Consider the following 14506-nt stretch of genomic DNA (forward strand, 5'->3'; position numbering starts at 1 on the left):
CCTCAGCCTCCCAAGCAGCTGGGACTACAGGCATGCGCCACCACATCCAGCTAACTTTTTTGTATTTTTAGTAGAGACGGGGTTTCATCATATTGGCGAGGCTGGTCTTGAACTCCTGACCTCGTGATCCACCCACCTCAGCCTCAAAAAGTGCTGAGATTACGGGTGTGAGCCACTGCGCCTGGCCCTGAAAAATTTTTAATGAAAGTTCAAAGTTGTATCTCTATTAACTCCTTTCACCATTATTTTAACACATTTTTTGAGAGAAATGAGCTGTGTTGAAGTGAATGTCCTGAAATGTGCACATGACATTGGGTATACATCAAAGTTTGTTGTACATGTTAGTATCATTTATGTTGCAGCCCAAAACAAGCAAAAACCCTTTAGATACAGTGGATATATGATAATCTATTCTTAAAGTTACTGTGTCTAAGAATCACTCAAGGAACTTGGTCACATACACATCCTGGGTCTCATACCCAAATATTCTGATTCAGAAGTTCTGGAGTAGTTCAAATAAATTTACTAGTGCTGATAGTTCATAGTTCATGAACCACTTTTGTTTTTGTTTTTGTTTTTGTTTTTGTTTTGAGACGGAGTTTCGCTCTGTCGCCCAGGCTGGAGTGCAGTGGCGCGATCTCAGCTTACCGCAAGCTCCGCCTCCCGGGTTCAGGCCATTCTCCTGCCTCAGCCTCCTGAGTAGCTGGGACTACAGGCGCCCGCCACCACACCCTGCCAATTTTTTGTATTTTTAGTAGAGACAGGGTTTCACTGTGTTAGCTAGGATGGTCTCGATTTCCTGACCTCGTGATCTGCCCGCCTTGGCCTCCCAAAGTGCTGGGATTACAGGTGTAAGCCACTGCGCCCGGCCATGAACCACTTTTAAGAAACCCTGAACCTGCGTTGTCTGTAGGACATTTAGTATCAATGCTATGAATCAGAGACCACTGTAGTGGTTCAGAACACAGGCTTTAAAATCCATCAAACTTGGGTCTAAAACCTGGCTTTAACGTATGCATTCTATGTGATCTTCTAAAACCAAGCTAACTATCAACCTGTGTCAGCCTTGCTTTCCACATCTGTAAGAGTGAAATAGTACAGAACATTATTTTCTCATATACTGTAGCTGTACAACCAGCTACTATATATGTTTTGAATTTTGATTTTTAGATTTTAGAATGATACTTGTCAATAAGTGTTTAATAAGTGTTGGCTATTGTCATTAATCTAAATATAAAATGTTTCACACTTCTAATTTGTAATTTTTTTCAAATGTTAGTTTTTTATTTCATTATTTTTATTTTTTTAAATGTTAGTTTTTTAATATTAAAAGTTTAAAAATACAGAAATGTAATTTATAAAGAGATCCATTTCCACCGTGTTCTCATCACTGTCAGAGATTTAATAGCTCACCCCATTTTCCTTAGAAAATGCTTCTGTTCTGGAGTGTGGGATCCTTTTGCCCAGAGCAGTTACAGAACTTTGCATGGTATATGAAAGCTGAGGCTTTTAGAGCTTGTGAACCAGAATATCTGAGAGGAGAAAGTCTAGACCATAGATATACATTGGTTCACTTAACTCTGAGGCGGTAGGAGCAGCACATCCCCAAAGACATGTGACTACACAGGAGACATTAACTTGGATCAAGTGATACAATGATTCCTGGAAACTGAAGAGTTAAAAATTTTATGCCTTGGGAGTTTTAAGGACGAGGCTAAGTGGCATGGAGAAAGTGGTTTCTATGGACAGTGTAGAAGTGGAACATCAGTCCTCACGCAGATCACACAAACTTTAACACCAGCATTTTTCTAGGTCACCAGAATGGATAGCTATCCAAAGGCCCTTTCCTCCCAAATGTTCTGCATTGCATAAGCATTAATGTATTCTCCTGTGAATCACAGAGAGACTCTTGGTCTCCAGGTCATGGATGAAACAATTTCCTGCCAACTTTGAGAGAGATTTATTTTGATAAAGCAAAATAATGTAATTAAAAAATATATGAGCATCATGGGGGATAATGGTATCCATTATATTTAACTATCTAAGGACTTTAGGAAAAGACTCTTTCAGGACCATGCCCATGTCACATGATAGAGCATGGCCTGCTTTGCTTCATGTATCTGTTCTGTATTGCAGTGATGGGGTAGATGAGTGGAAATGAAACTAATAACATCAAATGTTCTTTCCACAAACACCAAAAACATAATTGAATAAATTGGAACATTTTGGGTCTAGGGTTATGCCGAATTAGAATGAAGCCCTAGAGGATGTGAAAGACCCCTGTACAGATGAGCAACTCAAAAATTAAACGGTCACATGTGAAAAAAATTGACACCACCAGCAACATGAGGTCATGTTTCATCAGAAAGGCTTGACCAGCTAGAATGACAAACAAGTCTAAAGGTGACATGGTGCACTTTGAATGTGTACAAGTGGAGGCTGTGTTGAAAATAACAACATGCCAGAATGTGGCATGAGTTTGAATCCCAACTCTGCCATTTATTACTTGTGCATTCTTGGCATAGTCAGCTTCCATTTCTTCTGTAGTAAAAACTGGTAATGTAATTGTCAATTGGGCAAGATTATTATAACAGTTATATAGATAATTCACATATGAGAATCCCTCATGCAGTACATGGCACGTTTTAGTAACTCAATTGGTTCAATTTATTTCAGTCAAGACCATTCAAATCAGGAATAATTTTTTTTTAATTGGTCAAACATCTGGTTGTTTGGTGTTATCCAGACATGTTGGATTGACTCTTACTTTCCAACCAGATGTAGAATCTTTTTGTATCCATCCAAATATTTAATGTTGTGCAGACACACCAGGATTACACTTTTAACTCTGAAAGGACAGCCAGTGATGTACTATCCAAATAAATATGCATGCAAAGACAAAAATAACAAATCGGGCCTAAAACATTTGAGAAGTTCCGATCTCTTTCCTCATATATTTTATTAAGTGTTCCAGGAAACTTAATTTATGGAGGAGATAAACAGCACTGAGATTGCCTTAAAAAATTGTGTAACATTCAGCCTGATACATACGATCAAAAAGGGAGGGTGGATGACCTGAAGGAAGACAGGGTGGAACTAACCAGTACTAGTTGTGCACTCTAGACTAGTGATTTGAAAGAAAATGAAATATTAGCAGAAACTTACCGGCTTTTAAAATAAGGGATACAACCTTGCTTTAAACTGGCTTCAGCCAGAAAGGAATTGTTCACATAACCCAAAACTTTAAAAAATCCAGTGGCAGATCTATGATCAGGCTTGGCTAGGACCAAAGACTCTACCACTATCACTAGGACTTGATCTCTTTCTATCTCTCAGCTTTTTTTTTTTTTTTCCTCATTTTGAACTTTATTTTTAGGCAAATTCTCTCCTTTTGTTTTGATGATATAGCTACCAGAAGCTATTCTGAGTTCAACTTTCAGCAGCTCTATTACATCAACAGAAATGAGAGGGATGCCAATTCCCAGTTGTTTCAATAGAAGTCCTGCATTTGGCCCAGTTTTCCGGGCTTCAATCATATGCCTGTTACTCTAGGAGGTGGAGCTCTCTAAATGATCTATTCTAATATTGGGTGGTAATAAGTCATGAATGGGAGAAATATTATGTCCACTTAAACAAAATGGACTATGAGTCAGGGCAAAGATTCGCCAAAGGAAAAATAACTGTTGTTATTGAAAAAAGGGAGAATGTTTGTCCACCAAAGATCTTTTATGCAGACAAAAATCTTGGAGGGAAAGTTATCATATCATGTAAAAGATACAGAAGTCCAAAGCTGGTCTGACTTAGGAAGGGATGGTGATCAAGAGCTCTTCATCTCACTTACTTCTTACCAATCTCCAAGAGGTCCTTCTGATAACATAAAGAGAAACCTATTCCTCCTCAGATCGACATAGAAATAATCACAAGTGCCTCATTCAACCTCAAACTCTGGCTCAATAATATTTGTTCTCAATTAAACAAGTTTATTCATGTAAATGGTTTAGAAAAATGCCTGGCATAGAGTAAATACTCAGTAAATGTTAACCATTAGTGTTATGAAATACATATTATTAACCATGCAATTAATTACAAAAATAATTCTGCCAACACCCCAAATAACTCTAGTACCTGTTAAGCATTATAAGTTCTTCCATGACTATTCTATGCAGTCATACCCATCCACTCTCCATATCCTAAAATGCCTATAAAAGCAAGAGCAGATAAGTTAAATAAACATTTTTTTGTTGTCTGGAAATTTTGATTGAGGTCTCAAAGGTAAAAACAATTAGCATTAAAGTCCCTTACATTCTGAAGAGAAGCTCTTAATCATACATGAAGGAATTACAAAGAAGTATCCCAAACAAGTTATTTAAAGAATTGCAGCTGGGTGCGGTGGCTCACACCTGTAATCCCAGCACTTTGGGAGGCCAAGGTGGGCAGATCACAAGGTCAAGAGATCAAGACCGTCCTGGCTAACATGGTGAAACCCTGTCTCTATTAAAAATACAAAAAAATTAGCTGGGCTTGGTGGCAGGCGCCTGTAGTCCCAGCTACTCGGGAGGCTGAGGCAGGAGAATGGTGTGAACCCGGGAGGTGGAGCTTGCAGTGAGCCTAGACTGCGCCACTGCACTCCATCCTGGGCCACACAGTGAGACTCTATCTCAAAACAAACAAACAAACAAAAAAAGAATTGCTTATCATCCACCTCTATCCTACATAAAAGACAAGCTGGCCATTTCATTATGGAAATTTATAAGTAAGTATTTCCAGGGAAGATTTTTCAGCCTGGCAGTAAATGCTATGCATTGATTCTCACCTTCTTTTGGGAGGAAGAATAGACAGGCATGATCCTACCATAAAAAAAAGTAAGGGGAAGTTGAAGGGGCCCACTTGTAGACAGGGGTAACTTAGAAAGAGGGAAGAATTGCATCTGTTACCCTTGGTCTAGATATTTCATAGGAAAGAATTTGTAGTTCCATCCCAGGTCACCATCAGAGAGTAATAGAAATACATTTTTAGGAGAAGTCTATTCATTCAGGGTTTGATACAGGCGTGGTACTTTTTTTGTGTCAGAATAATAATCATAGAAAGTACAGTGATTGGGTTTGAGCCATCTTGAAAGGAATTTGACCAAAAGAGATGCCTCTGTGTCTAAATAACCTTTGAAGTAAGAGTTTATACAACCTACAACCTGTGTCATTGGAGTAGAAATTGAGGACAAATTGGAAAAAAACATCAGCCAGACCTAGCATTATCCCTTTCAGGGAATGGTACAAGTTATCAGCTATGATGGTGGCAGTAGGCAGAAGGGATTCACAGTACAATGAAAGTCCCTTATAAGAGAGAGACCATGTTATCGAGCATTTGGATATCTGCTGGACAGAAGTCATTCACCTGCTGGGAGAGAAATGTAAATAACATCATACAAGTAAAAATTCATTTTGCCATTTTACTGCTCTTTCCTTTTTCCTGCTTCATACTTGAAAGACCAGAAAACAGCAAGAAAATGAGAAAGGATTGTGAAAGGTCAGAGAAGACACCATCACATCCTCCTTCCCCACAGCAAGTTAGTGCTTGGGTTGGACACATACTGGGAGGAAACGGAGGGAAAAAAAATGAAGAAATGAAGATAAATAAACTAAATGGAATTTTTTTTTCTTTTTTTTTTGACTCCAAGACTCAGTCTGTCACCCAGGCTGGAGAGCTGTGGCGCAATCTCAGCTCACTGCAACCTTCGCCTCCCAGGTTCAAATGATTCTCCTGCCTCAGCCTCCTGAGAAGCATAACAATTAGAGCACAGCCTAGTGATAATATATTTTTATTTTAATACATAAAATGGGACTATTCTAATAAAAGAAAGTAACCCAAGATCTTGAGTTTTCTTGATATCCTGACAAAGGGCAGGAAGAAGGTTTGAAGAAAAATAAGACTATTGGCTGGGCTTGGGGCTCACATCTATAATCCCCGTACTTTGGGAGCTAAGAAGGGAGGATTGCTTAAGGGTAGGAGTTTAAAACCAGCCTGGGCAACATAGCAAGACCCTCTCTCTACAAAACAAACAAACATTAACCAGATGTGGTAGTACATGCCTGTGGTCCCAGCTACTCAGGAGGCTGAGGTGGGAGGATTGCTTGGGTCCCAGAGATTGAGGCTGCAGTAAGCTGTGACTGTGCCACTGGACTCCAGCCTGGACAATCAAGGGAGACCCTGTCTAAAGAAAAAAAAAAAAGGAAAATAAGACTATAGCTGATTGAACCTCACCAAGACTTGTAATATCAGTAGACTGTTTACAAATATATTCCAGATAATTTGCCCACTACCTTCATGATTGTTCCCAATGAATTCACATTTGCTGTCAACAATTTGGGCACAAAAAAACCTCTCTGTACTATGACATGAGTAGGCACATGTGCAATGACATCCACATTTTTAATGGTTAACTGGAAATGGCTTGTACCGGCTTGCAAGAGCCAATTGCTAAAATTTCAGAAGTTTTGTGATCCAGTTGGTAAACTCTGGCATTACTGTAATTTAAATTACATTAGGTATAAGCTTACAATCAAATAAATTATATTACAAATAATGGTAGTAAATACTCAAAACTTACCGCTTTTTAATGATTTTATTGCATTTAATTATTTTACTGCATTTATGCTCTTAAGTTTATTTATGGCTATTATGTATGGTAGAAACACTTTGTAACATTGTGCTACCACTATGCATCTCTTTCCAATTGCATGTTCAATGATGACCTGTTGATAGCTTGATATCGGCCATAGTGAGACTATTTACATCACAGAAATAAGCAAATGCTACAAATTAAGGTCCTTTTGTTGTTGTTGTCATTGTTGTTTTTGTTTTCATTTCCCTGTAGAGCTGGTAACTTCAAATATTTACCAGCACACCACTGGTAATCCCTGGTAAACTATTCTTTAAGAGTTCTAGCGCCGGGTGCGGTGGCTCACGCCTGTAATCCCAGCACTCTGGGAGGCCAAGTCAGGCATACTACGAAGTCAAGAGATCGAGACCATCCTGGCTAACACAGTGAAACCCCGTCTCTACTAAAAATACAAAAAATTAGCCGGGCGTGGTGGCGGGCACCTGTAGTCCCAGCTACTCGGGAGGCTGAGGCAGGAGAATGGCGTGAACCCAGGAGGCGGAGCTTGTAGTGAGCTGAGATGGCGCCACTGCACTGCAGCCTGGGCGACAGAGCGAGACTCCGTCTCAAAAAAAAAAAAAAAAAGTTCTCCAATAACTCTATATTGTTTTAAGAATTGCCCACTCATTGAAAAAAAATCCTTACTCCGTTCCGTATATATTATACCTCAAAATTCCCTCTAAGAAGTAGTAAATATTCAAGGATACATTTGCATATACATATACAATTGTGAGAAAATGCTTATGAATGAGCAATATTGTGCTATTTTAAAAATATGTTTGAGGCCAGACACGGCAGCTCACGCCTGTAATCCCAGATATTTGGGAGGCCGAGGCAGGTGTATCATTTGAGGTCAGAAGTTCAAGACCAGCCTGGCCAATACGGTGAAACCCTCTCTCTACTAAAAATACAAAAATCGGCCAGGTGCAGTGGTGGGTGCCTGTAATCCCAGCTACTCTGGAGGCTGAGGCAGAGATTTGCTTCAACCTGGGAGGAGGAGGTTGCAGTGAGCTGAGATTACACCACTATACTCCAGCCTAGGTGACAGAGCAAGACTCTGTCTCAAAAAAAAATAAAAATAAAAATAAAAATATGTTTGAATGGCTCATAAAGAAAAAGAAAAGTCTTGGCTTTTAATAAAGAAAAGGATCTCCAGCCTGTGAAACTTCTTTGGGAAACAAAGAAAATATTTAATGCTGAAGAATTTTGTTCACAATTTATCTTGTGAAAATAGTATATATATACATACATATATATCATTTATGACATCATTGTCAAACTGCTGAAAGCCAAATATAATTAGACAGTCCTTAAAAAGCAAAATAAAAGGGACATAATATATATAAATTAGAAAAAAATGGCAAAAAAAATTTTAATGAAATTTTAGAAGTGCTGAAAAATACCATCAATGTAGAATTCTTTTTTTTTTTTAGACAGAGTCTTTTTCTTGTTGCCTAGCCTGGAGTGCAGTAGTGCAATCTCAGCTCACTGAAACCTCTGCCTCCGAGGTTCAAGTGATTCTCCTGCCTTAGTCTCCCAAATAGCTGGGATTACAAGCGCCCACCACCATGCCAGGCTAATTTTTGTATTTTTAGTAGAGATTGGGTTTCACCATGTTGGCCAGGCTGGTCTTGAACTCCTGACCTCAAGTGATCTGCATGTCTCGGCCTCCCAAAGTGCTGAGATTACAGGTGTGAGCCACTGCACCTGGCCATCAATGTAGAATTCTATATCCAGTATAATGGTTTGTCTATCTACCTATATATTTATATCCATATTCATGAATAGTTTTTCTCTTAATTTTTAATTGCATAAAGTACAATTTATAACACTATATTGTTTTATTTTATAGGTAATGTAACATGTATGAATATAATATAGCAAGGATAGTGGGGTAAATAGAACTATATTTTTCAAGATTCCTATATTAATACTTGTGATTCAATATTGAATTTAAGTAGATTTTGAAGATTTAAAAATGATAATTCCCAGCGCAACCTCTAAAAAGAATTCAAAGAAACACAGCTATAACAGCAATAGAAGATGTGTAACAGATTACAAAAATATTTGTTCAACATAGAACAGGGAATAAAGGGAGAACAAAAGAAATAAACTTATGAGACAAATAAGAAAGTTATAGCCAATAGCAGGCCTATATCTACCAATTTTACTCATCACTTTAAATGTAAATAGAGCAAGCATTTGAATCAGAAAGCAGAGACTGCCAGAATACATTTGAAGGAAAAGGATGGCAAAACTATATACATCTGTCTCATCAGTTTGGGCTACAATAACAAATTACCAATGACTGGGTGGCTTAAATAACAAACACTTATTCTCACAGTTCTGGAAGCTGGGGAGTCTAAGATCAAGGTGTGAGCAGATTCAGTGTCTGGTGAGGGTCTGCTTCCTGGTTCACAGATGGCTCTCTTCTCATTGTATATTCAAATGGCAGAGAGAAGAGAGAGGAAACAAGCTCTTGTCTCTTCTTATTATGGTACCACTCTCATTCATAACTACTTTCCAAAGGCCCCATCTTTTAATACTGTCATATTGGGAATTAGTATTTCAATGTATGAATTGTGGGGGAGACACAAACTTTCAGTCCATAACAACACCCTTAAGAAGACTTACTTTAAATAGAAAGATACAAATACTTTGAAGATAGAAGAATGATAAAAGATGTGCAATACAAAAAAAAAAAATATATATATATATATATATCAGAGAGCTGGAAAGGCTATGCTGACATCAAATTACATAACCATCAAGGCAGACTTGTTATTTAATAATAAAAAGAGCCAATTCATAATGTTAAAGAGAATCATTACATTAGGAAGATATAACAATTATAAAGGTGTATACACCTAATGATAAAGCTTCAAAATACATAAAGCAAAAACTGACAGATCAAATAGGAGAAAGATAAATTTAAATATAAAGAAGATGTGAACAATGCTATTGGCAGCCTTAACTGAAATTTATGAAAGACTGTCCCCAAAACTGTATTTAAGTACACATGGAATGTTCACAAAAATAGTCTGTATGTTCAGCCATAAAATATTTCCATAGATTTTAAATGATTGGTATGCCAAAGAGCACATTTTTATCAAAAAGTAATTAAATTACTTAATAATAACAGGTTCTAAACATTTTTTGGATCAAGAAAAATTAGGAAATATTTTAATTGAATGATGATGAACACATAATATACCAAATTTCTGGTGTGCATTTATATTGTATGAGGAAAAATTTATATTGAAAAACACATCAGAAATAATGAAAGATCTAAAGCAATAATTGAAGCTTCTATCTAAAGAGGGTAGAAGAAAGGTGAGCAAATTAAACACAAAATAAATAAAAGGAAGAAAAAAATAAAGATCATAGAAAAATATCAATAAAATAGAATATAAAAAATCAGGGAGAAAGTCAACAATTTCCTTCAAAAAAGAAAGTTATCCTTTGAAAAGATCAATAAAATTGATAAATTTCCAGCTTGAATAATCAAAGAATAAAAACACACAAACCACCAGTATTAGGACTGAAAGAAGAGATACCACTGCAGATACCGAAAAGGATAAAGTAGTACTATGAACAAATTTATGCTGATAAATAGACATAAATAGGGCATCTTATTATATATACAGTATAGCTCAGTAAAGTCAACTTATGACAAAAGAAAAATTATCAGTTAAATAAAGCTGAAGATAGATTCAGATTTTAGTAATGAAAATTACTTCTCATATAAGAAATAAAGAGAAAAATAGAAAATTTTGGAACTTTAAAAAAAGTCTAATTTAAAAATATAAATCCCAGCTGCATTATTAGTAGCATTTATATATTATATTATATATAATATAATATATTATAATATATTATATATAATATATTATATATAATATATTATATTATAATGAAGTCACTGAAAGCCTTAGCCATTTCTTTGTGCACAGCTTTTGTTCTTTCCCCTTGTTTTTAAACTGGAAGCATTTTTCTCTCATTGTTTTCTAGTAGTTTAATTATTTCAGTTGTGATAGACATTTTGATCAATTAGTTATGAAGGAATGTGCTTTTTATATTTCCAAGTAGTTGAGATATATTTGGAATCTAACACTATACTTGTATTATTTTCAAGTATACTTTGAATTTCAAATAATTTTTGTTTTGAATAAATTTAGTGTTCTGTTGTTTGGTGCATATAGATTCATCATGTTACATATGCATTGGATATTTATCATTAAATAATGTCCTATTCTGTCTTGTTTTATGCTTTTAATCATAAATTCTACTTTGTCTTTGATTAATATTGACACCATTTTTCTCATTTTGTTTGATTAGTTTGGTATCTTTTATCCCTCACATTACTTTCAATATTTATCACTTTATTTTAAGTGTTTATTTAAAATAGCATATAGTATGCTTTGCACTAACCCAATCTGATATTCCTGTCTATACAATAAAATTTTTTGTCTTGTCAAATTTATTTTAATGTTATTTCACTTCTTTCATCATGCTGTATATTTACATTAATTTTTTTTCTTTTCTCTAACATTGCTGGTTTTATTGCTTAGATTGTCCTTTTTAAAAAAATTCATGTTAACTTTGTTTTCTATTACTATTAGCAATTCTTTAGCCTATTTTTTAAAAAGCACTGAAAATTAAAACCCTATTTATCTTTTTTAGACAAAAATAAGTAATAGCTGACACAAGTATATTTTAATTCTTGAAACAACTCAAGGGATGCACACTAATATCTCCATTTTACAGATGAGATGGCTGAGCAACAGAAAGTTTAGTTACTTACCTAAGATCACACATCTAAGTAGTATGGAGCCAACATCTGTACAGTAACAACCAAGTTATATGGCTTTTTTCTCTGTGTTTTTACTGTATTTGCCTACTGCTTTCCCTCATCTCAATAGAATAAAATCTTTAGATAAGAAATGTCCTCCCATCTCCTACCTTCCCCCCTCTTGAATGCCTTTATCTCTTTTCTATTGCCAATAATCAGATTTTGCTATGATCATTAGTGCACAATTTAAAAAAAAAGCCTACATAAGGAATTTCAATAACTCTTTTTTTTATTTTTTATTTTTTTATTTTTATTTTTTTTTTTGAGACAAAGTCTCGCTCTGTCACCCAGGCTGGAGTGCACTGTCATGCTCTCAGCTCACTGCAACCTCTGCCTCCTGGGTTCAAGCAATTCTCCCTGCCTCAGCCTCCCTAGTAGCTGGGATTGCAGGTGCCTGCCACCATGCCCAGTTAATTTTTGTGTATTTAGTAGAGATGGGGTTTCGCCATATTGGCCAGGCTGATCTCGAACTCCTGACCTCAGGTGATCCACCTGCCTCGGCCTCCCAAAGTGCTGGGATTACAGGCATAAGCCACCATGCCCAGCCTCAAGAACTCTTTTATAGCACTTATGTTACACATTCTCAGAGAGTCTATCTTTCCTGCCTTATTTTATAACTTTCACTGAGATACAGTGTTGACACATTTTCTGATTTTTTTTGCAAATCCATAAGAATTTTTCTTTTATTAATAGAGAACAGGATTTTTTTAGTGTATATGTGGTCCTTTTATTCTCAGTGCTTTGTTGATGTTGTCCCTTCATCTTCTACTTCCAGTGTTGTGAACAAGAATTCAGATGCTAATCTGAGCTGGTTTTACTTTGAAGGTATTTTTCATCTAGATCAGAAACTTGCTTGTTTATTAATTTCTTGTTTGTTTTTATCTGCCTTCCATAGAAATGCCTACTTTTTGAGAGCAGGGCTATGTTTGAATTATTCATTCTTACTCCCTTGGCTCTTAGTGCAGTGTCTAGCAATTCATTAACGTACACTATATTTGATAAATAAATGAATACTAACAGAATGATTACCATAGTGGGGAACATCAATCAGGTAATGCTCAATAACCAAGGATAGTAAATAGTTACCAATATGGTCAGAAGTCAAGGAGTAGAAATATGTCAATCATTTGCCTGAGGTTCAAGGACGGGCCAAATCCAAGAGGTGGGTAGAATCTCTGGGCAGGTTTCCCTGGCAGAAACACAGGATCAGAGGATTGAGCAGGTACCTTGTGATAAGAAGTATGAGATTAAAGAGCATGTGATAAGGAGGCAGAGATGACAGAGTGGGCACAAATGGGAGTCCAAGTCTTAGCACAAGAATCTCTGTACTTTCACAATGAAAATGATTTGATAATGAACCCTGAGGTCATTTATTCATTCATTTGCTTAACAATATTTAGTGAGTATTTGTGTGGGGGGCAATAGGGTTAGGTTGGTTACATAGTGGGGAATAAAGTAGATATAAACCCTGCCATCATAGAACTTAGTGTTTAGTGTGGAAGAACTTGATTTACATAATTATTTTCTTCAGAAAGTAGAATTCAAGTTGTCCTAGCCAGAAGAGAAGAGGAGAAACAGATCGAAAACCAGGCTGGATGAGACAAGTGCAAGTAGGAAGAAGTCTGGACTATATATACTAAAGGAGAGAGAGCAGAGACAAAGATGTAAATGACATATGATCTTGTTTCATGATGAAATGGCAATAGGATCCAGAAGACATGTGATAGTACTATAGATCGGTAGAAGTGGTTGGTGTAATATGAACTTCCAAGTGGCTACAAAACAGAGTGAAATTAATAAGATAATAGTTTCTGAAAGAGGCAAGGTTTTGCATACTGTTTGAAAGAAGTGGTAGAGGGCATGAAGGTTTTTCTTGTCAAATTTGTCTAGGTTTAGGGAAGAGCATCACAAAGCAAGGCCACGTGTAACTTGGGTACAGATCTTTCAAGAGGTAATGATAGCAGATGTGCTCTGCGGTGTCTGAGGAAATATAACAGGAAGTAAGGAGAAATGAGGTCAGAGGAGAGAGAGGACTAGGAAAAAACATGATGAATGCCAGGCAGCCATGTTTTAAATGAAGAAGAGAAATATGAGCAAGGAACATGTAGATAAGAGTGATGTGGGAGAAAAATAATTCTTGCTGCTGTGCTCCAGATATGGAAATTAATTATTATTATGAATAGAATACTAATATGGCTATTCATGCTTTTGCTTTTTTGCTTTTTGTTTTTTGTTTTTTGAGGCAGGGTTTCACTTTGTTGCCCAGGATGGAGTGCAATGGCACCATCATAACTCACTGCAGCCTCAATTTTCTAGGTTCAGGTGATTCTGCCACCTCAGCCTTACAAGTAGCTGGGACTACAGCACACACCACCACGCCTGGTTAATTTTTTGTATTTTTTGTAGAGACAGGATTTTGCCATGTTGCCCATGCTGGTCTCAAACTCCTAGGCTCAAGCAATCCGCACAACTCAGCTGCCCAAAGTGCTGGGATTATAGGTGTGAGCCACTGCACCCAGCTTGCTTTTTTGTTTTCTATTTTTGTTTCACTGTAGCATTAATGAAACTCCACAGGCTAATAATAACCATTTACTACATAACATTATTTGAAAGGAGCAAATACAAGACAAAAAACTAAAGTAATTTTTCAGCTTCTTTTTATTATCTATACAGTTTGAAACAAACAGGTTTTAGTATCTTCTCTCAGACAATCAACTACTACTTTTTCAATTTGTTTTGTTCTAAGCTCTAAGTGATATGTTGGTGCTTCTTACAATAAAAATTGTTCATCAAATAATATTTTTGGAAGAATGAATTTGGTGGATAATTTTCTCTCCTTTGCAACATGTTTTCATAGTGAGGAAGTTTCTATTACTGTAGCACATTGGTCACTTTATTTACTCCTTTCCATAAAAAAAAAAGGAAATAGCTTAATTAGGGAGGTTTGCAAAAAGGAACTGGTCATGTGTGATTGAACTCCTTTCTCTCTCTCCTGTTTT

The 14506-nt window shown here is 36.3% G+C and overlaps 2 annotated features.

Moving 5' to 3' along the window:
* Positions 208–708: an enhancer, noted in NCBI's record as "H3K4me1 hESC enhancer chr8:122938752-122939252 (GRCh37/hg19 assembly coordinates)". NCBI's record gives its function as "activates a minimal SCP1, AML or CMV promoter by ChIP-STARR-seq in primed H9 embryonic stem cells {active_cell/tissue: H9 hESC(primed)}" and the evidence as "EXISTENCE:reporter gene assay evidence [ECO:0000049][PMID:30033119]".
* Positions 709–1209: an enhancer, noted in NCBI's record as "H3K4me1 hESC enhancer chr8:122939253-122939753 (GRCh37/hg19 assembly coordinates)". NCBI's record gives its function as "activates a minimal SCP1, AML or CMV promoter by ChIP-STARR-seq in primed H9 embryonic stem cells {active_cell/tissue: H9 hESC(primed)}" and the evidence as "EXISTENCE:reporter gene assay evidence [ECO:0000049][PMID:30033119]".

Source organism: Homo sapiens, chromosome 8 (assembly GCF_000001405.40).
Source record: "Homo sapiens chromosome 8, GRCh38.p14 Primary Assembly".
Taxonomy (NCBI): domain Eukaryota; kingdom Metazoa; phylum Chordata; class Mammalia; order Primates; family Hominidae; genus Homo; species Homo sapiens.